General features: G+C 46.9%; 2 protein-coding genes and 1 long non-coding RNA gene across 6 annotated transcripts in view, besides 1 other annotated feature; 2 read left to right on the forward strand and 1 right to left on the reverse strand.

Annotated features, from left to right (window-relative positions):
* Window positions 2-774: an enhancer, noted in NCBI's record as "H3K27ac-H3K4me1 hESC enhancer chr22:42475449-42476221 (GRCh37/hg19 assembly coordinates)". NCBI's record gives its function as "activates a minimal SCP1, AML or CMV promoter by ChIP-STARR-seq in naive H9 embryonic stem cells {active_cell/tissue: H9 hESC(naive)}" and the evidence as "EXISTENCE:reporter gene assay evidence [ECO:0000049][PMID:30033119]".
* SMDT1 (single-pass membrane protein with aspartate rich tail 1) lies at window positions 257-4841 on the forward strand. 4 transcript variants are annotated; one of them, NR_146715.2, is made up of 3 exons: window positions 257-462; window positions 2482-2622; window positions 3676-4841. NR_146715.2 is itself a non-coding variant. In NM_033318.5 (3 exons), the coding sequence occupies exons 1-2, from the start codon at window positions 326-328 to the stop codon at window positions 2617-2619; spliced, it is 324 nt and encodes a 107-aa protein (NP_201575.3). In that variant the 5' UTR covers window positions 257-325; the 3' UTR covers window positions 2620-2622; window positions 3676-4841. The 4 variants fall into 4 exon arrangements, 2 of the variants coding, with proteins under 2 accessions (NP_201575.3, XP_011528811.1); NM_033318.5 differs by having other exon boundaries at window positions 257-511; XM_011530509.3 differs by having other exon boundaries at window positions 257-511; window positions 4627-4841.
* NDUFA6 (NADH:ubiquinone oxidoreductase subunit A6) lies at window positions 6083-11329 on the reverse strand. The gene is made up of 3 exons (NM_002490.6): window positions 11163-11329; window positions 7617-7732; window positions 6083-6871 (listed from the first exon to the last, which is right to left on the reverse strand). The coding sequence occupies exons 1-3, from the start codon at window positions 11299-11301 to the stop codon at window positions 6740-6742; spliced, it is 387 nt and encodes a 128-aa protein (NP_002481.3). The 5' UTR covers window positions 11302-11329; the 3' UTR covers window positions 6083-6739.
* Window positions 11490-21860, forward strand: part of NDUFA6-DT (NDUFA6 divergent transcript) — a 34417-nt gene continuing 24046 nt past the window's right edge. The window contains exons 1-3 of the long non-coding RNA NR_034118.2: window positions 11490-11738; window positions 11854-12157; window positions 12676-12789. This is a non-coding gene — a long non-coding RNA (NDUFA6 divergent transcript). The remainder of the gene's footprint in view (window positions 11739-11853; window positions 12158-12675; window positions 12790-21860) is intronic.

A 21860-nucleotide genomic window follows, 5' to 3' on the forward strand; every position in this document is an offset into this window, starting at 1 on the left:
TCCGCTCCCTGGGTTTATTTCCACAACCGGCCGCTGAGGCCTGTTCTGACGGCCGGGCGGACCCAAGACCGCGGCCACGCCCAGCAGGACGCGGACTGAGGGAGCCGGGGCTGCGCCGCCACTCTCGTGACGCCACCATGCCGGCCAGTGACAAACACCTCCCTCCCGCCGCCCCAGGAGCCGCCGGCACTGCGCGAGTGGGAGGGCTGGGCTTCTCGTGTACTCCTCAAACTCTCGCGAGGCTTCGGGCGGCTTTCTTCCCGAGGGCGGCACGAGGGCTGGGCGGTGGGGTGCGGGTGCCCGGGTGAGGGGCGGAGCTGGGGGCATGGCGTCCGGAGCGGCTCGCTGGCTAGTATTGGCACCCGTCAGGTCCGGGGCTCTCCGGAGCGGGCCTAGCTTGAGGAAAGATGGCGATGTCTCCGCCGCATGGAGCGGCTCAGGCCGGAGCCTGGTACCGTCGAGGTCAGTCATCGTTACCCGCAGCGGCGCCATTTTGCCCAAACCGGTGAAAGTGAGTGTCCTCCTGGAGACGGGGCGAAGGGGCTGAGGCCAATCATTGTGGGGAGTGCGTGAGGGCGGCGCTGATTGATAGGAGCCAAGGCCAATCATAACGATTACCGTAGACTGGAAGGCGGACCAAGAATACGCTAATGAGTTGCTAATTTTGACAGGTGTGTAGAAAATGGTAGGTAGACAGAAGATGGGGGGCAAACGCTGAGGAAGTTGGCCTTTTACATTAGCTTGTCCTGAGAGGTGCGGTGCTCTGCTCCTCTGGAGTCAGAAGACTAGGCCGTGTGCTTCTAGCTTAGAGCAGTCCTGTAATCTCTGCCCTGCCTGTCTCCTAGTTTATGGGATGAAATATGAATTTTGAAAGGACTCTGTAAATAAAGGGTACGTGGGACGGGCCTCATCTTTTTATTAGTTGTCACCTAATATTTAATTCATGTGATTTACAGTCCTGATAGATGTGCAGGGAATTATTACAATCACGGGTTTTCAAATGAAGAATCGGGCTAGAGCGGTGAAGCTCGTATCCAAGGCCAGCGCTGAGGACGCAGCATCCGGGTTTCTTCCTGGTACCGTCCCCACCAGGTCCTGTCTTTTTCCAACACTGAACGCTATCACATGCTTGAGTTTTTCTAGGGAAAACGGAAACAGTCCCTTATATCAAGCGAAAGTTTGCTTTACGACTGCAGGGCTGTGTGGTGTGGGAGTTAAAAAAACAAATTCTCTTAAAGCTAGTCTAGCCTATGCTAACTCACACAATTGACTGTAGGTCCATGTTGGGAAAGACCTGCCTTATCAAAACAGTTGAAAAAAAAATTTTTTTAATTCTAGGAATACGAGAGAAATGTTGCTGAGATTTTACTGACATTCTCCCAATCCATCTAAAGTCTTTGAGTGTAAATACATGCCCACTTTCAAATACATCTGTTTCTAAAATTTTTAAATCAAATTTCTCAGGCATCAGGGAACCTGTTACTTAGTGAACTGTGTAGAATATCCCTTCACTGTACATCTTTCTGTCATCGGTTTTCGTGTATTTCGTGTTCAGGCAGAGCTCACCGTAGTCTGGCCCTCCTAGTACTGGTGCACCCGATTGCCTGTAGGGATTTAAAGTAATTAGCAGGCTGTGTCCTAACTTTAGATGTCTAGGGTGCCTTAGACTTTTCTTTCCAGTGGACTTTTCGTCCATTTTGATGGCCATAACAGTCACCTTATCTCCTTTTTTTTTTTTTTGAGACGGAGTCTCACTCTGTCACCCAGGCTGGAGTACAGTGGCACAATCTTGGCTCACTGCAGCCTCCGCCTCCCGGGTTCAAGTGATTCTTCTGCCTCAGCCTTCTGAGTAGCTGGGACTACAGGCATGTACCACCACACCCGGCTAATTTTTTGTATTTTTAGTAGAGACGGGGTTTCACTATGTTAGCCAGGCTGATTTCGAACTTCTGACCTCGTGATCCGCCCGCCTCAGCCTCCCAAAGTGCTGGGATTACAGGTGTGAGCCACTGCGCCCGGCCTTTTGTCTTTTTTTTAGACAGAGCCTCACTCTGTCTCCCAGGCTGGAGTGGAATGGTGCAATCTTGGCTCACTGCAACTTCTGCCTCCTGGATTCAAGCAATTATCCTGCCTCAGCCTCCCGAGTAGCTGGGATTACAGGTGCGCACCACCATGCTGGGTCAATTTTTTGTATTTTTAGTAGAGACGGGATTTCACCATGTTGGCCAGGCTGGTCTCAAGCTCCTGACCTCAGGTGGTCCACCCACCTCAGCCTCCCAAAGTGCTGGGATTAAAGGTGTGAGCCACCCTGCCTGGCCTTCTCCTTTTCTAATTACTTTTCTTGCCCTGAATTTTTCCAAGGACTTTAAAATCAAGTTGCTTATGATGGGTCTGAGGGTATGTCTGTGAGAGGGCCAGGTCTTCTTTGGTCCTGCCAGAGTGGGCTCTGGAGCTCACAGCTGCCACTCTGACCCTCTGCAGATGTCCTTCGGCCTTCTCCGTGTGTTCTCCATTGTGATCCCCTTTCTCTATGTCGGGACACTCATTAGCAAGAACTTTGCTGCTCTACTTGAGGAACATGACATTTTTGTTCCAGAGGATGATGATGATGATGACTAACAGGTAAGACTTGCTTTACCCTAGATGGAGCAGGAAGCAGGGTGGAGCATCTGTCTGTGATGCAGTCTGGCCTGGTAGCAGCATTTGGACACTGGGGGCAGAAGCATTAATGAATTGGCCCACTTGGTGGCTAATGTTTTCGTTTGTTTGTTTTTTGAGACGGAGTTTCGCTCTTGTTGCCCAGGCTGGAGTGCAATGGCATGATCTCGACTCACTGCAACCTCTGCCTTCCAGGTTCAAGCGATTCTCCTGCCTCAGCCTACCGGGTAGCTGGGATTACAGACATGCGCCACTGTGCCTGGCTAATTTTGTATTTTTAGTAGAGACGGGGTTTCTCCATGTTAGCCAGGCTAGTCTCAAACTCCCGACCTCAGGTGATCCACCCACCTTGGCCTCCCAAAGTGCTGTGATTACAGGCGTGAGCCACTGCGCCCAGCCAACTTCATGTGCTCTAATATGTGCTGCATGGCATTCTGTCAAGAGATGAGGACACTCCTGTTCCTTAGCCTGGCATTCAAGGCTTGCCATAATCTGGTCACACCTCTTATTCCAGTCTCATCTTCCATATTTCCAGCCACACACCGATTCCCAGTATTCACCATTTCTTGAGTTTTCACACTCATACCCACCCCCAAACATTGGCTCATTGTTCCTCCCACATGGAAGGCTCCTTCCCAGAGCTCTGGGTCTTAATTCCACCCATTCTACAGTGTCTTTGAAGTCTTCGTTCCTCCTTTCATTTGAAAGTTGACGGCTCCTTCCTCTAAGCAACCAGTACCTCTCTTCAAATACTCGGTATTATGTGGCTAAACACACACAAAGCAAAATTTTACTAGACTCTGAGCTTCTTGCTGGCAGGGGACGTTTTTTATACATTGCGGCCCCCAGTGCCTGGCCTGTGGTGAATGCCCAGTTAACGTGCGCATGAACAACCAAACGTGCTCAAAGCTGCCTTTCTCCTGCCATGTTTGATAGAAGCACTTTGTGGAATTCTTTCAGTCTGCGGATGGAAGACTACGCTGTTGCCCAGTTCACTGCTGCTTTCCTTTCTTACAGGAATTACAGAAAGGAGAAAGCACTAACTGAAGAAATGGTGATGCTCTCAGTTTCTCTGCCTTCCCTATCAGCAGAAAGGCTCGGGGAAGGCCCTCAGCCTCCCAGTCTGGTGAAGCTTCCTGTATGGTCCATGACCGTATTCCACCCCAGGCTCTGGGAGGCTCCCTGAGATGTGCTGTCCACTAAGCACTGCACAAACAAGCAATCAAATTATGAATAAACATAATAAATATCAGCCGTGCGTGACTGAGTGATGGCTGCAGTTTCTCAGTATCCCTAGGTTCTAGTTGGTGCAGTTGTCTCTGCTGTCCTTTATTTATGGGAGAAACATAGGCCCAGGCTATCCAGGCTGCAGTGGAGCCTGGTGAACTATTCTGGGGGCCCTGGGAACTATTTTCATTGTTTACAAAAGCCCAACAGAAACTGTGCATTTTCCCTTAAGAAAGCTTCATGGGCTAACTAAAGCCTCATGCCATTCTGTGTTCAGTGCCAGTCATGACAGCTCTGCTTGTTAGCATACTACTTAAATATAACTAGAATGATTCAAAACTCGGGTTCTGTGATATGAGGATATAGATAGGTTTTCATCTATTTCCTGGCTTATAACTCCCAAAACCCTTGTTTTAGGCTTTTGTTATAATGTTGGGCACTTCGGGCCTCAGAAAACAGCAGGCTGTTTCTCAGATCTTCTCCTGACCTCCTTTCACCTGCTGCTTTTTCTCCCCAAGGCAGGCCATAGAAACTAAAAGTATAATCTTCCTTTGCCCGTCTTCCAGTTGGCCATAAAAAGAATCCTCTGACCTACCTTGTCTGATTTTAGGTCATGAGACCCCCATTTCAGAAGGGATTCTGCCCCATACCTGAGAGGAAGAAATGTAGACAGGCCTTGTTGGACTTCCCCACTCCATCTGTATTAGATTATGCCTCTTTTGTCCAATCCCATTTCTCCAGTGTTGTCCATGCTTCAATCATCCCTATCCAATGAGGTCTCCATAAAAGGCCCAAGAAGACAGGTTTAGAGAGCTTTCGGAGAACAGAACACTTGGCTTTGCAAAGTGGCACGCCTGGAGAGAACTTGGAAGCTCCACGCCCCTTCTATACCTCACCCTATGCATCTCTTCAGCTGTATCTTTTGTGATATCCTTTATAATAAACCAGTAAACGGACCTAAGTGTTCCTCTGAGTTCTGCAAGCTGCTCCAGCAAATTAAAAAGAAGGGGTCAGCCAGGTGCGGTGGCTCACACCTGTAACCCCAGCACTTTGGGAGGCCAAGGCGGGCAGATCACAAGGTCAGGAGAGCGAGACCATCCTGGCTAACACAGTGAAACTCTGTCTCTATTAAAAAATAGAAGAAATTAGCCGGGTGTGGTGGCGGGCACCTGTAGTCCCAGCTACTCGGGAGGCTGAGGCAGGAGAAGAATGGCGTGAACCCGCGAGGCAGAGCTTGCAGTGAGCCGAGATGGCACCACTGCACTCCAGCCTGGGCGACAGAGTGAGACTCCATCTCAAAAAAAAAAAAAAAAAAAGAAGGGGTCATGGGAACTTGAAGCTCAGAAGTTCTGGAGGCTTGGACTTGTGAATGTTGTCTAATGGGGGTGGGAGCAGTCTTGTGGGACTGAGCCCCAAACCTGTGGAATCTGTTGCTATCTCCAGGTAGATAGTGTTCGAAGAGAATTGGAGGACAGGCAGCTGGTGTCTGCTGCAGAACTGACTGCTTGCTTAGTGTGGGGAGAAACCCTCATAACGTTTGATCACAGAAGTCTTATGTGTTTATTGTTATTGAGTGAGAGAACACAAAAACACCTTGAGTTTTTCCCTCAGGTTCCTTACGTGAAAAGATTATAAAGGGATCCTTGGTGCCATAAGGTTTGGGGCCATGCACAATGGCTGATGCCTGTAGTCCCAACACTTTGGGAGGCGGAGGCAGGAGGATCACTTGAGCCCAGGAGTTCAAGACTGGCCTGGGCGCGGTGGCTCACGCCAGCACTTTGGGAGGCCACGGCGGGTGGATTACTTGAGGTCAAGAGTTTGAGACCAGCCTGGCCAACATGGTGAAACTCCGTCTTTTCTAAAAATATAAAACTAGCTGGATGTGGTGGTCCATGCCTGTAATCCCAGCTACTTGGGAGGCTGAGGCAGGGAGAATTACTTGAACCAGGAGGTGGAAGGTGCAGTGAGCCAAGATCACACCAGTGCACTCCAGCCTGGGCAACAACAGCGAGACTCCATCTCAAAAAAAAGAAAAGAAAAAAAGACCAGCCTGGGCAATGGAGAGACGCCATCTCTATTTAAAAAAAAAAAAAAAGTATGGGAGTCCTCAGTGATCATACCTATAGATTCCAAACCCCTTCTCCATCATTTGGATTGCCCTGGGAAGCACAAGAGAAGACCACCATCCAAACAGAGATCAGTTCTTGAACCTGTGTTGATGTTTATTCTGCCACTGAGAGGTACACCAGGGTTTCCAAAGACAGTAGGAATATTTCTGTTCTCTGTGTATATTGAACAGCTGTGCACCTAAGCAGGGTGCCTGAGTAGGAAGTTAATTTCATTTTAAGGGCTGGAGCTTGTTACAAGTAGCGGAGCCAAGCCTTTGCACATCCATTTTCTTCAGAACCCAAGGAAAACTAGCCCATCTTGACAGCTCTACTTTTGCGCCTGTTAGTGCTGCCCTGATCCCTGACAGGAAGAGCTGGCTAATTTTAGATAATCTGTGCCCTGACACTGAAGTGTCTAATCATAGGGGCTATAGAAACAACTACATTAACAAGTCGTCCAGCCTCATGCCCAATGTCACAATTTTTGAACAGATGGCCTCCTTCCTTCCTGTTTACTGACATGCAAGGCTCTGAGAAAAATAATTCAATCCAATTTACAGCAAACACCACATTTCAAGAAAAGGGAAAGAACAGGTGATGTGTATACCAAGGTCCCACTTGCTCAGGCAAAAAGAGGCTGCAGAAAATTGGTTCATCAATGGAATTCTATCACAAAGTGACCATTGTATAGTGAGTTTATTTGTGCTCTAAAATAGTATCAACGTGCATCTTTCCACTGAATGACTTCATGGATCGTGGCCAACATAGAACTTGGATAGGAAATCCTTTGGCCTTGGCGCTTCTGTTTCATGGAAGAACCGCATAACATGTGTCCGCTGCTTCCATACTTTAATTGTTTCTTCCAGTTCGATCTTTCCCTGAACAGTGAGGAGAGAGGTCATCAGTCAAAGTTGTCAAGTTGAAGGCATATGACACTGAAGGCCAGGATTCTATTCTCTGCTCAGCATGGACTTGTTGAATGACCTTGGGCAAGTAACTACTCTGTCTGGGCAAAGTTTCTATGTCTGGACAATGAGGTGGTCAGGGTAAATCATTTCTGACACTTTTCAGATTCTTTAACTCTGTGGTTAACTGGTACCAAGAGGAGAAACATACAGGTTAACAGGCTCCTATCCCATGACTACCTAACCTGACTGGCTTAACTTATGTTTCTGCTTATCATTTCTTCTGTTACTGACTGGTCTATGCTGAAGCTCCCATTGATGCTAACGTGACTGGCCAGGGGGACAGAATCAGCCCCAGGATTTGAGTCCATTTATACAGGACTCATAACCACCCTAACTGCCTCTTCCAGCTGTAAACTGGCATTCAGATGAAGTGGTAACTTCTAGGGATGAGGTTCAAGAAGAGTTCAAACTTTCCTCCCTATATCTTTTTTTATGGTTATAAAATGCAAGTCCCAGTGGATGTTCCCTTGATGAATCTTATCTATTTAACCAGATGATAACCTCCAAGTTCAAGTATTTCTCTGAAACACAGCAATAATCACTGCCGAACCAGTAGCTGCTTTCTAAACTTGGAGACAAAATGTTCATTTGGAAAGACTAAGAAGTAGTGGACAAGTTGGCTGATCTTTTAAATTGGTCAGGGAGGGTCAGTTACCTTAATGACCAGAAGATCAACCACCCTGGGGTCTGTGACATGGGCATTCTTCATAAACATTTCTCGGACTTTATCCCGTCCCATTTTCACAGTGATGTCCAGCTGGAATTGGTGCACTAGAGAGAAAAACATGACTCAGGGTAGAAATTGTATGGTTAAATAAAACCTAGAGTCAAATGATACTCATTGAACACATACAGGTCGCCCATTCATTTCTTCACCAAAAAATTAGCCTGACCCTAGGCTAGGTGCTTGAGGATGAGACATGTGATTCATGGTATTTGCTCTCAAGGAACTTATTATTTGTTTGGGGAAAAAGACCACTGAATTTGAAGAGGCAGTAAAGCATTGTTCAAGAGTTTGAACAACCTGGGTTCAAATCCCAGCTTTTGTTAGCTATATGATCCCGTGTAAGTTAACTTTCTTGTGCCTGAGTGTATTTTTTAAAAAATTATTTTATGGGCTGGGCGCGGTGGCTCACGCCTGTAATCCCAGCACTTTGGGAGGCCGAGGTGGGCGGATCATGAGGTCAGGAGATCGAGACTACCCTGGCTAACACAGTGAAACCCCGTCTCTACTAAAAATACAAAAAATTAGCCGGGTGTGGTGGTGGGTGCCTGTAATTCCAGCTACTCGGGAGGCTGAGGCAGGAGAATGGTGTGAACCCGGGAGGTGGACCTTGCAGTGAGCCGAGGTCGCACCACTGCACTCCAGCCTGGGTGACAGAGCGAGACTCCGTCTCAAAAAAAATAATAATTATTTTATTAGCTGGGCGCGGTGGCTCACGCCTGTAATCCCAGCACTTTGGGAGGCCAAGGCAGGTGGATCACCTGAGGTCAGGAGTTCAAGACCAGCCTGGCCAACATGGTGAAACCCCGTCTCCACTAAAAATACAAACATGAGCCGGGCATGGTGGTGGGTGCCTGTAATCCCAGCTACTCGGGAGACTGAGGCAGGAGAATCACTTGAACCCGGGAGGTGGAGGGTGCAGTGAGCTGAGATGGGCCACTGCATTCCAGCCTGGGTGACAGAGTGAGACTGTGTCTCAAAAAAAAAAAAAAAAAAAGGCTGGGCGCGGTGGCTCACGCCTGTAATCCCAGCACTTTGGGAGGCCGAGGCGGGTGGATCATGAGGTCAGGAGATCGAGACCATCCTGGCTAACAAGGTGAAACCCCGTCTCTACTAAAAATACAAAAAATTAGCCGGGCGCGGTGGCGGGCGCCTGTAGTCCCAGCTACTCAGGAGGCTGAGGCAGGAGAATGGCGTGAACCCGGGAAGCGGAGCTTGCAGTGAGCCGAGATTGCGCCACTGCAGTCCGCAGTCCGGCCTGGGCGACAGAGCGAGACTCCGTCTCAAAAAAAATAATTATTATTTTATTAGCTGGGCGCGGTGGCTCACGCCTGTAATCCCAGCACTTTGGGAGGCCAAGGCAGGTGGATCACCTGAGGTCAGGAGTTCAAGACAGCCTGGCCAACATGGTGAAACCCCGTTTCTACTAAAAATACAAAAGTTAGCCAGGTGTGGTGGCACGCAACTATAATCCCAGCTACTCGGGAGGCTGAGGCATGGGGAAATCACTTGAACCCGGGAGGTGGAGGTTGCAGTGAGCCAAGATCGCGCCATTGCCCTCCAGCCTGGGAGACAAGAGCGAGACTCTGTCTCAAAAAAAAAAAAAAAAAAAAAAGTGAGTTATCATTACTGTTTTTTTCATTAAATACTTAAAATTTTACTTTTGTTTTTTATTAATGCTCAGGCTGTTCTAAGTTCTCAACACTATTACTTATTCCCCTTCCTTGATTTGATTCCTCAGCTGGAGTCCTGATGATGGATACCATAAAACCCGTGTGGCACAGGTTTGAGTAACTGGCCAGCTACAGATCACTGATCTTCCCCATAGGGATGCATACTCCTTGACCCCTTCTTTTCTCTCCTCTTCCCTTGCTTTCTAGGCTCCTGTAGCCCTCTGCCTTCTTTTCCTCCTCTCAAGACCCTTCTGACTTTGGGACTTTCTTCCCAAAACAGAATTTGAGGGAAGGTCTTGGGAGGGGTCGGTTTAGAAAGAGCTGGATCCTCAGAGTCAGGATACCTGGGTTCTGTCTTCTACTTGGCCACTGATTTACCCTTCACAAGCCACCCTTTTTGAATGTGGTCCTCCTTCCCCCAGCACCTTCCTCCTGCAACCAGAGAGGGTTCTGGGTACTCCTAGAAGTATTCTGCCAGGCAAACATTATGTTTTCAAACTGCTGAATTTGAATGCACCACCCCGAAACACACACACACACACACACACACACACTGCTACAGTCACTCCCCACACACATCTTTTATCTGCCTGCCCCTGAAGGCATCTGAATTTGCAGTCCCTGAACCAGCAGATCACTCAAGTTTCTCCTTCTCTAGTATCGCGTGGGTTTAAGTTCTGGTCAGTAGCAATTTTTCCAAAAGTCAGCTTGAAGACAGGGACTCTGTGGAGCAGACACAGTTCTCATATGTCAAAGAACCGGGTTCTGCTTGGAAGCTGCTGCTAAGGAAAGCCCTATAAATAACAAAAATAACAACAAAAACAACGGCAGCAGCTAATATTTAATGAGTTAAATATGCATCAAGTCCTGTTCTAAGCACTCTAGATATTTTAACTTAATACAGTAACCTTCTGAAGAAGGAATTATTATTCCCATTTTAAAGATGAAGAAACTGAGGAATAGATGAAATAACTGGCCCAAGGTCACACAGCTAGTTGAGGGCAGCGCCTGAAGAAAAGTCCGTGCTCCTAACCACCACATTCTACCGCCTTTTCACACACACAAGCAGGGACTCGACAGCCCTGAGGAGTGGCACCGTGCTCCAGCTCACTCAAAAACACCTCTTTCTCGCACTTTGGGAGGCCGAGACGGGCGGATCACGAGGTCAGGAGATCGAGACCATTCTGGCTAACACGGTGAAATCCCGTCTCTACTAAAAATACAAAAAAAAATGGCCGGCGTGGTGGCGGGCGCCTGTAATCCCAGCTATTCGGGAGGCTGAGGCTGAGGCAGGAGAATGACGTGAATCCGGGAGGCGGAGCTTGCAGTGAGCCGAGATCGCACCACTGCACTCCAGCCTGAGCGACACAGCGAGACTCTGTCACAAACAAAAAAATCCAACGGGCATCTATAATTACACTCTGCAACTCTAGACTTTGGGTTCTGGGTACAACAGTGGCTCGGCCTGGGCCCTGGGCACATCACTTCACCTCTCGGTGCCTCCGCTGCCTCACCCACAAAGTGAGTGTGTCACTGACAGTCATCGTCCTCCCGCCAATTGCGAAGGACAAAAGAGACCAAAGCTCCGATAGCACGTACGAATGCTAGGCACGGCCGGTCTGACCACCGCGCCGCCGCCAGGTCCGGCCCATGGTAGGCTCGGGTGACCCTCTTCCCCTGAAGCACCCGCAGTCGCCTCTGCCCAAGTTGGTGACCTCAGCTGGGCCCATGAGAAACCCCGGCCGGGCCGGCTACGACCTTGAGCGGCGGCCTCCGGGTCCCCACGTAAGCCGCTACCTCTCACCAGTGTTCGGCACCTCCCGATACCAGGCGCGGTAGAGCTCGCGCACCCTCCGCTTGGCCTCGTTCATGTCCCGACTGAAAATGGGCTTCACGAAGGTGCTGGCGGTAGAAGTAGCTTGGCGGACGCCGCTCCCCGCCATCTTGCCAAAGCATCCACTCCACAACCCCACCCCTTTGCAAGCAGCGCGTGCGGACCGCGGGCGAATGTCTTTTCCCATTGGCTAAGGAGGAACGCCCCGCCTGTATGCTGGGTGGGCGGGAGGATGACTCTGAGGCTCTCGGATTGGCTGGGAAGCCTCTCTCTGGCTGAGCGAACGGTGGGTGCTGCGCATGCTCATCTACAGAAACGCCGCTTGGCCTTTGGACTACACCATCTGTCGCTCGCTCTAACGAGCCGGCGTTGCCGCCAGGGGACGCTCGGGCCGCAGGAGGTCGCTGGGTCGTGAGCTGGCGCCGGGGACGCCGAGCGACTGCGGGGTTTCCCTCAGCGTCCTGCTATCCGGCTGCCCGCCGCGCTCCTTGGTAGTGTCCGTGGGCGCGCAGGCCTTGAAGAACCTCCTCGTGGCGGGACCCCGAGGTAACTGCTGAGGCAGATAATGGCGCCTGGGCTGCGGTGGGGCTTGTCCTGCCGCCTGGCGGCTTTCTGCAGGGCCAGGATATACTTACTTTTCTGTAAACCAACTCTTCCTTAGCGCAGGAGAGGTGTCAAAGAGCTGGCGCGTCTCCAGAGCCCCGGGAGGAAGGCTGTAACGGCAGCCCCATCGTAGACAGGGACATTCGCATCCCGAGCCCTGGATCTCTGAAAACCAGCCCAGAATTTGGAAGCTGGAAGGAACTTTAGATCGTCCATTCTGAGTGTCTCTCTTCGCTGGCGTTTTCCCACTGAGGTTATGTAAACATGAAGAGGAGCCTACAAGTGTCAAGGAAAAAACGACAGCTAACCACAGGGCAGGCCATGGGCAAGATATCTCAGTGTTCTCCGCTCTCATAGGTCAGGTAGGTACCTCAGCATCCCCATTTTACAGGTGAGGAAACTGAGATGGCCCAGAGTCTAGGTCACCTGACAGATCGCCCCCACCTGCCTGACTGCTGCCTAAGAGGCTCCGTCTTTTTCTGAAGGTGTAGTTGACAGGAGCCTGTGAGTATTGGGGAAGGGCCAGGGGCCGGGGCTGAGCATCTACTCCAAACTTTCCCATTTCGAAGGGTTAAAAAACCAGATATACTTTTTTTCTTCCTTATTATCTTCTAAAATGTATATATATATTCAAGTGAGCTATACAAAAGAAAGCACGTAACATATATAAATTATAAAGCATAATAATAAAATGGAAGCTTTTGAACCTCAGTACTGACTTAAGAAGTTGTAACACAGTTAAGGTTTGTATAAAGTGTCCTTAGATGTCCTTAGTAGCCACTGTTCTCTAGTTCTCTAGGTACATTAACTTGGCTAGGCTTCACAACACACCAGTGAGATTGTGTTGATATACCCTTTTTTTTTTTTTTTTTTGAGACAGAGTGAGACTCACCTAGGCTGGACTGCAATGGTGCAATCTCGGCTCACTGCAACCTCCGCCTCTCATGTTCAAGCCATTCTCCTGCCTCAGCTTTCCGAATCGCTGGGATTACAGGTGCGCACCACCATGCATGGCTAATGCTTGTATTTTAGTAGAGACGGGGTTTTGCTATGTTGGCCAGGCTGGTCTCAAACTCCTGACTTCAGGTGATCCACCCACCTCAGCCTCCCAAAGTGCTGGGATTACAGGTGTGAGCCACTGCCCCCGGCTGATATACTCATTTTATAGATGAGAAAACTGAGGCACAAAGAGACTAAGTTACTTTACAGCATTGGGGTTGAAGCCCAGGCAGCTGGTGCCAGAGTCAGTTTTCTGACTCTCGCAGCACCTATACCATGATATCTACCTGTATGATTCTAACCTTGTGTATACCCCTGCCTCCTTCAGAAGTACCCACTATCATGATAAATTCATTGTGTTCAACATTCAAAAAAAAAATGGGGCGCAGTGGCTCACTCCTGTAATCCCAACACTTTGGGAGGCCAAGGCAGGTGTATCACCTGATGTCAGGAGTTCGAGACCAGCCTGGCCAACATGGTGAAACCCCCGTCTCTACTAAAAATACAAAAATTAGCCGGCATGGTGGTGGGCACCTGTAATCTCAGCTACTCGGGAGGCTGAGGCAGGAGGATCGCTTGAGCCCGCGAGGTGGAGGTTGCGGTGAGCCAAGATTGCGCCGCTGGACTCCAGTCTGGGCGACAGAGTGAGACCCTGTCTCAAAAGGAAAAGAAAAAAAAGACCTCTAAACAACCCACAAACTGGGAGAAAATTTTTGCAAATCACATGTTCCATAAGGGACTTGTATCTAGGATACATAAAATTCTTACAACTCAGTAATGAAAAGACAAATAGCCAAGTTTAGAAATGGGCAAGGGAGACAACACCAAATGCTGGTGAGGATGTGAAGCAACAGGAACTCTCCTTACTGGTAGGAACGCAAAATGGTACAGCAGCTTTGGAAGACAGTTTGGCTTTCTGACAAAACTAAACATACTCCCATCAGAAGATCCAGCCATTGCATTCCTTAGTGTTTACCCAAATGAGCTGAAAACTTATGTCCACACAGAAACCTGCACATGGATGTTTACAGCAGCTTTTGTTTTTGTTTTTGTTTTTGAGATGGAGTCTCGCTCTGTCACCCAGGGTGGAGTGCAGTGGCGCGATCTCGGCTCACTGGAAGCTCTGCCTCCTGGGTTCACGCCATTCTCCTGCCTCAGCCTCCAAGTAGCTGGGACTACAGGCGCCTGCCACGAAGCCCAGCTAATTTTTTGTATTTTAAGTAGAGACGGGGTTTCACCATGTTAGCCAGGATGGTCTCGATCTCCTGACCTCGTGATCTGCCCGCCTTGGCCTCCCAAAGTTCTGGGACTACAGGCGTGAGCCACCGCTCCCGGCCAGCAGCAGCTTTATTTGTAATTGCCAAAACTTGAAAGCAACCAAGATGTCCTTTAGCAGGTAAATGGATAAATAAACCTTGGTATATCCAGACAATGGACTATATTCAGCACTAGAAAGAAATGAGCTATTAAGCCATGAAAAGGCATGGAGAAACCTTAAATGCATATTAGTAAGTGAAAGAAGACAATCTGAAAGAGCTACATACTGTATGATTCCAACTATATTACATCCTGGAAAAGGCAAAACTATGGAGACAATAAAAAAGATGGCAGGGGCTGGGAGTGGGGAGAAATGCACAGAGGTGGTGCACAGAGAATATTTAGGGTAGTGAAATTACTCTGGATGTTATAATGGTGGATACATGTTATTACACATTTGTCAAACCCTACAGGATGTACAACACCAAGAATGAAACCTAATGTAAACTATGGGATATGGGTGATACTGGTGTGTCAATGTAGCTTCATTGCTTATAACAAATATATCCTCTGGTGCCTGATGTTGTTGGTGGGGGGAGGCTATGAGTGTGTGTGGGGTGGGGGAACCCTGTATTTTCTGTTCAGTTTTGCTGTGAACTCGAAACTGCTCTTAAAGATGAAATTTTTATTTTAATGGGTAAAGTATTTGAATAACCATTTCTCCAAAGAGGATATACGGGTGACCAATAAGTACATGAAAAGACATTCAACATCATGAGCCATTAGGGAAATAAAAATCAAAACCCTCGTGAGATACCATTTCTCACCCAGTAGAATGGCTAGAGTGAAAAAGGCAGACACAGCCAGTCACGGTGGCTCACACCTGTAATCCCAGCATTTTGAGAGGCCAAGGCCAGTAGATCACTTGGGTTCAGGAGTTTGAGACCAGCCTGGCCAACGTGGTAAAACCTCCTCTCTACTAAAAATAGGAAAATTAGCTGGGCATGGTAGTGCATGCCTGTAATCCCAGCTACTAGGGAGGCTGAGGCAGGAGAATTGCTTGACCCGGGAGGTGGAGGTTGCAGTGAGCCCAGATCATGCCATTTCACTCCAGCTTGGGTGACAGAGCAAGACTCCATCTCAAAAAAAAAAAAAAAAAGACAAAAGATAGTGTTGGCAAGGATATAGAGAAATTAGAACTTTCTATACTTTGCTGGTGGGAATGTAAAATGGTGTAGCCATTTGGGAAAACAGTCTGGCAGTTTCTTAAACAGTTAAATATGGCCAGGAGTGGTGGTACTCACTTGTAAGAGGCCGAGGCAGAAGCATTGCTTGAGCTTAGGAGTTTGAGACCAGACTAGGCAAAATAATGAGACCGTATTTAAAAAAAAAAAAAAAAGTTAAACGTGGACTTACTATATGATCCAGCAATTCCAATCCTAGGTATTTACCCTGAAGAAATTTTTTTCCACACAAAGACTTGTATGCAAATGTTCATAGCAGCATTATTCACCATAGCCAAAAACTAAAAACACCCAAATGGCTATCTGTTGATAAGTGGATAAACAGAAGGTGGTCTGTCACCCAGGCATGGTGGCTCATTCCTATAATGTCAGGATTGCTTGAGGCCAGGAGTTTGAGAACAGCTTGGGCAACATAGTGAGACTGCATCTGTTGAGGGAAGTCAGGAACCCCGAACGGAGGGACCGGCTGAAGCCGTGGCAGAAGAACATAAATTGTGAAGATTTCACGGACATTTGTTAGTTCCCCAAATTAATACTTTTATAATTTCTTACACCTGTCTTTACTGCAGTCTCTGAACATAAATTGTGAAGATTTCATGGACACTTATCACTTCCCCAATCAATAGCCTTGTGATTTCCTATTCCTGTCTTTAATCTCTTAATCCCGTCATCTTCGTAAGCTGAGGAGGATGTATGTCGCCTCAGGACCCTGTGATGATTGCATTAACTGCACAAATTGTTTGTAGAGCATGTGTGTTTGAATAATATGAAATCTGGGCACCTTGAAAAAAGAACAGGATAACAGCAACGTTCAGGGAACAAGAGAGATAACCTTAAACTCTTGACTGCCAGTGAGCCGGGCGGAACAGAGCCATATTTCTCTTCTTTCAAAAGCAAATGGGAGAAATATCGCTGAATTCTTTTTCTCAGCAAGGAACGCCCCTGAGAAAGAGAATGCGTCCCTGAGGGTAGGCCTCTGAAATGGCCACTTGGGGGGTGGCTGTATTTTACAGTCACAGCTGTAGGGATGAAATAAGCCCCAGTCTCCTGTAGCGCTCCCAGGCTTATTAGGATGAGGAAATTCCCACCTAATAAATTTTGGTCAGACCGGTTGTCTGCTCTCAAACCCTGTCTCCTGATAAGATGTTATCAGTGACAATGCATGCCCAAAACTTCATTAGCAATTTTAATTTCGCCCCGGTCCTGTGGTCCTGTGAACTCGCCCTGCCTTCATTTACCTTGTGATATCTTATTACCTTGTGAAGCATGTGATCTCTGTGACCCACACCCTATTCGTACACTCTCTTCCCTTTTGAAATCGATAATAAAAACTTGCTGGTTTTATGGCTCAGGGGGCATCACGGAACCTGCTGACATGTGACGTCTCCCCCGGACACCCAGCTTTAAAATTTATCTCTTTTGTACTCTGTCCCTTTATTTCTCAGACCGGCCGACACTTAGGGAAAATAGAAAAGAACCTACGTGAAATATCAGGGGTGAATTTTGCCCGATAGCATCTCTACAAAAATTTGTTTAAAATAGCCAAGCATGGTGGTACGTGTCTATAGTCCCAGCTACTCGAGGGGCTGAGGTAGGAGGATTGCTTGAAGCCAGGAGTTCGAGGCTACCATAAACTATGATCCTACCACTGTACTCCAGCCTGGGTGACAAAAAAACAAACCTAAACAAAACACAAAATATGGTGATACGGTTTGGATATTTGTCCCTTCCAAATCTCGTCAAAATGTCATCCCCAGTGTTGGAGTTGAAGCCTGGTGGAAGGTGAATGGATCATGGAGGCAGATCCCTCATGAACGGCTTAGCACCATCCCCTTGGTGATGAGTGAGTTCATCTGTAATCTGGTTGTTAAAGGTGTGTGGCATCTCCCGCTTTGCTCTCTTGTTCCTGCTGTCACCATGTGACATCCCTGCTCTCCCTTTTCCTTCTGCTGGGATTTGAAGCTTCCTGAGGCCCTCACCAGGAGCAGATGCTGGAGCCATGCTTGCACAGCCTGCAGAACTGAATCAATTAAACCTCTTTTTCCTCTCTCTCTTTTTTTATTTTTATTTTTTTTGATATGGAGTCTCACTCTGTCACCCAGGCTGGAGTGCGATGGCACGATCTCAGCTCACTGTAACCTCCGCCTCCCGGGTTCAAGCGATTCTCCTGCCTCAGCCTTCCAAGTAGCTGGGATTATAGGCGTACGCCACCATGCCCAGGAGGCAGAGGTTGCAGTGAGCCGAGATCACACCACTGCACTCCAGCCTGGGTGACAGAGCAAGACTCCGTCTCAGGGAAAAAAAAAAAAAACTACCAAATTGTTTTCCAGAATAACTGAATCATTTTACATTCTCATTGGCAATTCATGAGTGATCTAGTTTCTCCACATCCTCTTCTACATTTGGTGTAGCAACTGTTTACATTTAGCCATTTGGAATAAGTGTACAGGGATAGCCCATTGTAGTTTTAGTTTGCATTTCCTTAATGGCTAGTGATATTGAACATCCTTTCCCAAGTTTATTTCCAATGTGTATATTCTCTTTACTGAAGTGCTTTTTCATGTCTTTTGCACATTTTTATTTAGATTATTTATTTTTGAGTTTTGGGAGTTCTTTATATATTCTAGATACTAGTCCTTTATCAGATACGTAGTTTGCAAATATTTTCTCCCACTCTATGCCTTTTCATCCTCTGAACAGGGTCTTTCACAGAGTAAAAGTGCTTAATTTTGATGAAATCTATTTTATTATTTTTCCTGTTATGGATTGTGCTTTTAGTGTCAAGACTAAAAATGCCTTGTGTAGCTCTAGGTCCAGAAGATTTTCTCCTAAATGTTTGATGATGTACATTTAAGTCCATGGTTTGGTTTGGTTTTTGTTTTTTGGTTTTTGTTTTTCTTTGAGACAGTCTTATTCCCTCACCCAGGCTGGAGTGCAGTGGCATGATCTTGGCTTACTGCAACCTCTGCCTCCCAGGTTCAAGCGATTCTGGTGTCTCATCCTCCAAAGTAGCTGGAATTATAGATGCGCACCATCACGCCCAGCTAATTTTTGTATTTTTAGTAGAGACAGGGTTTCACCACGTTGGCCAGGCTGGTCTTGAACTCCTGACTTCAAGTGATCTACCTGCCATGCTGGAATTATAGGCATGAGCCACTGCACCTTGTTGTAATTTTTGTATATAATGTAAGATTTATTTCAAGGTTCATTTTCTTGCCTATGAATATCTGATTACTCCAGAACCATTTGTTGAAAAGCCATTTTTCCTCCATTGAATTGCATCAGCACCTTTGTAAAAAACCAACTGGGCACATATTAGTTGGTGACAAATTCTTTTAGTTTTCCTTCCTTTGAGAATTTTACAATTTCCCCCAGCATTCTTGAAGGATATTTTCATTGGATATGGGATTCTGAGTTGATAGTTTTTTTAACAATGGAAAAGTGTTGTGTCACTTCTTTCTGGTTTCTGTTGTCTCTGATGAGAAATAAGCTGTCATTCAAATTATTTTTTCTATATAAGTAACATATTGTTTTTCTCTGGCTGCTTTCAAAAAATTTTTTTGTTTTGTTTTCAGAAGTTTGACTATAATGTATCTTGGTGTGAACTTCTTTGGGTTTATCCCAATTGGAATTCTCTCAGCTTCTTGAATCTATTGTTTTATGCATTTTGCCAAGTAGGAAAGTTTTCTTTGAATATTTGTTCATTTGATTATTTATTTATTAATGTATTTTTTTGAGACAGGGTCTTGCTCTGTTATCCAGGCTGGAGTACAGTGGCAGAATCATGGCTCACTGCAACCTAGACCTTCCAGGCCGAAGCGTTCCTCCCACTTCAGTCCCCAGAGTAGCTGGGACCACAGGTGTGCACCACCACACTCAATTTTTTTGTTTTTGAGGCGGAGTCTCGCTCTTTCACCAGGCTGGAGTGCAGTGGCATGATCTTGGCTCACTGCAATGTCTGCCTCCCAGATTCCAGTGATTCTCGTGCCTCAACCTCCTGAGTAGCTGGGATTACAGGTGCCTGCCACCATGCCTGGCTAATTTTTGAATTTTTGGTAGAGACGGGGTTTTACCAAGTTGGCCAGGATGGTCTCAATCTCTTGACCTCATGATCCGCCTGCCTTGGCCTCCCAAAGTGCTGGGATTACAGGCGAGAGCCACCACGCCCGGCCCCCTCCTATGTTGTCCAGGCTGGCCCCAAACTCCTGGGCTCAAGCAATCCTTCTGCCTCTGTCTACCAAAATGCTGGGATTACAGGGATGAGCTATCATGCCCCACTCTGATCTTTTATTAACAGTCTCACAGGCCCTGAGGTTGTGTTTATTATTTGTTTCTTTTCTTTTCTTCTTTTTTTTTTTTTTTTTTTTTTTTTTTTTGGTTGAGATGGAGTCTCGCTCTGTCGCCCAGGCTGGAGTACAGTGGCGCGATCTTGGCTCTGCCTCCCGGGTTCACACCATTCTCCCGCCTCAGCCTCCCGAGTAGCTGGGACTACAGGTGCCCACCACCATGCTCGGCTAATTTCGTTTTTGTATTTTTAGCAGAGACGGGGTTTCACCGTGTTAGCCAGGGATGGTCTCGATCTCCTGACCTCATGATCCACCCACCTCAGCCTCCCAAAGTGCTGGGGTTACAGGCATGAGCCACTGTACCGGCCTCTTTTATTTTCTCTTTTCTTTCTTGTTTACTTTTTCCAGTCCATTTTCTCTCTGTTGTTCAGATTGAGTAATTTCTGTTGTCCTGTCTTCCAGTTAACTGCTTGTGTTGTCCTCTTTTCCACTTTTGAGCCCATTCACTGAGCTTTTTATTTCGTTGTTGTATTTTCTATTTCTAAAATTTCTATCTGATTCTTCCTTATATCTCCTATTTCTATGCTGAGACTCTTTTTTATTTTTTCAACATGTTCATAACTGTATTTTTTTTTTTTGAGATGGAGTCTCACTCTGTCGCCCAGGCTGAAGTGCAGTGGCACGATCTCGGTGCACTGCAACCTCTGCCTCCCAGGTTCAAAAGATTCTCCTGCCTCAGGCTCCCGGGTAGCTGGAATTACAGGCATGCACCACCACACCCAGCTAATTTTTGTACTTTTTGTAGAGACAGGGTTTAACCACGTTGCCCAGGCTTGTCTCGAACTCCTGGACTCAAGCAACCAACCTGACTTGGCCTCTCAAAGTGCTGGGATTACAGGCATGAGCCACTTTGCCCGGCCTGAGTTGCATTCCTCTATGAATTTTAGAAAAAGCAATCAATTTCAACAAGAAAATTGCTGGAATTTTTATTGATTACACTGAATCTATAGATTAATTTGAGAGGAACTGACATCTTTAAAATGTTGAGTCTTCTGATTCATGACCATGGTATGGCTCTTCATTGATTTACATCGTCTTTAATTTCTCTCAGCAATGTTTTGTAGTTATTAGTGTATGATTTTGCATGTAGCTTTTGTTATATTTTTTGTCTATGTATTTTATATTTTGGATGCTGTTATAACTGGTTTTTAAGAAGTTTTAATTCCCAATTGTTTATTCCTATTATATAGCAATATAATTGATTTTAATACAGTGATCTTGCATCCTTCAGCCTTGTTAAGCTGTAGTTGCTTTTTGGATGATCCCACAGGATTTTACACACAATCATGTTATTTGAAAATACAGTTTTATTTCTTTCTTTCCAATCTGATTGCCTTTTACTTCTCTTTTTTGACTTGTTCACTGGCTAGAGCTTCTAGCACAATATCATACAGAAGTGATGAGGGTAGACCGGGTGCGGTGGCTCATGCATGTAATCCCAGCACTTTGGGAGGCCGAGGCAGGCGGATCACCTGAGGTCAGGAGTTCGAGACCAGCCTGGCCAACATGGTGAAACCCCATCTCTACTAAAAATACAAAATTTAGCTTGGCGTGATGGTGCACACCTATAATTCCAGCTACTTGGGAGGCTGAGGCAGGAGAATCGCTTGAACCTGAGAGGCAGAGGTTGCAGTGAGCTGAGATCATGCCATTGCACTCCAGCCTAGGTGACAGAACGAGACTCTGCCTCAAAAAAAAAAGCAATGAGGGCAGACTTTTTTTGCCTTAAATTAAGACATTCCTGGCCAGCTGTGGTGGCTCATGTCTGTAATGCCAATACTTTGGGAGGCCAAGGTGGGTGGATCACCTGAGATCAGGAATTTGAGACCAGCCTGGCCAACATGGTGAAACCCCGTTTCTACTAGAAATACAAAAATTAGCTGGGCGTGGCGGCAGGCACCTGTAATCCTAGCTATTCAGGTGGCTGAGGTAGGAGAATCACTTAAACCTGGGAGGCGGAGGTTGCAGTGAGCCAAGATTGTGCCCTTACACTACAGCCTGGGTGACAAGAGTGAAAGTCTGTCTCAAAATAAATAAATAAATAAATAAATAAATAAATAAAGACATTTCTGAACTTAGGAACAAAGCATTTAGTATTTTACCATTGAGTATGTTGCTAGCTGTAGGTTTTTCGTAGATACCCCTCATCGGATTGAAAATGTTTCCATGAATTCCTCGTTTGCTGGGAATTTTCTTTTCTTTGAGGTTCAGATGTTGAT

This window comes from Homo sapiens, chromosome 22 (genome assembly GCF_000001405.40).
Source record: "Homo sapiens chromosome 22, GRCh38.p14 Primary Assembly".
Lineage (NCBI taxonomy): Eukaryota > Metazoa > Chordata > Mammalia > Primates > Hominidae > Homo > Homo sapiens.

Excerpts from the sequence above, each read along its gene's own strand:
- NDUFA6 (NM_002490.6), bottom strand. The coding sequence starts at position 11,301 with ATGGCGGGGAGCGGCGTCCGCCAAGCTACTTCTACCGCCAGCACCTTC. Across the intron at positions 7,733-11,162 it reads TCGGGAGGTGCCGAACACTG|TGCACCAATTCCAGCTGGAC; the intron begins GTGAGAGGTAGC and ends TTTTCTCTCTAG. Across the intron at positions 6,872-7,616 it reads TTGATCTTCTGGTCATTAAG|GGAAAGATCGAACTGGAAGA; the intron begins GTAACTGACCCT and ends CTCACTGTTCAG.
- SMDT1 (NM_033318.5), top strand. The coding sequence starts at position 326 with ATGGCGTCCGGAGCGGCTCGCTGGCTAGTATTGGCACCCGTCAGGTCC. Across the intron at positions 512-2,481 it reads TTTTGCCCAAACCGGTGAAA|ATGTCCTTCGGCCTTCTCCG; the intron begins GTGAGTGTCCTC and ends GACCCTCTGCAG.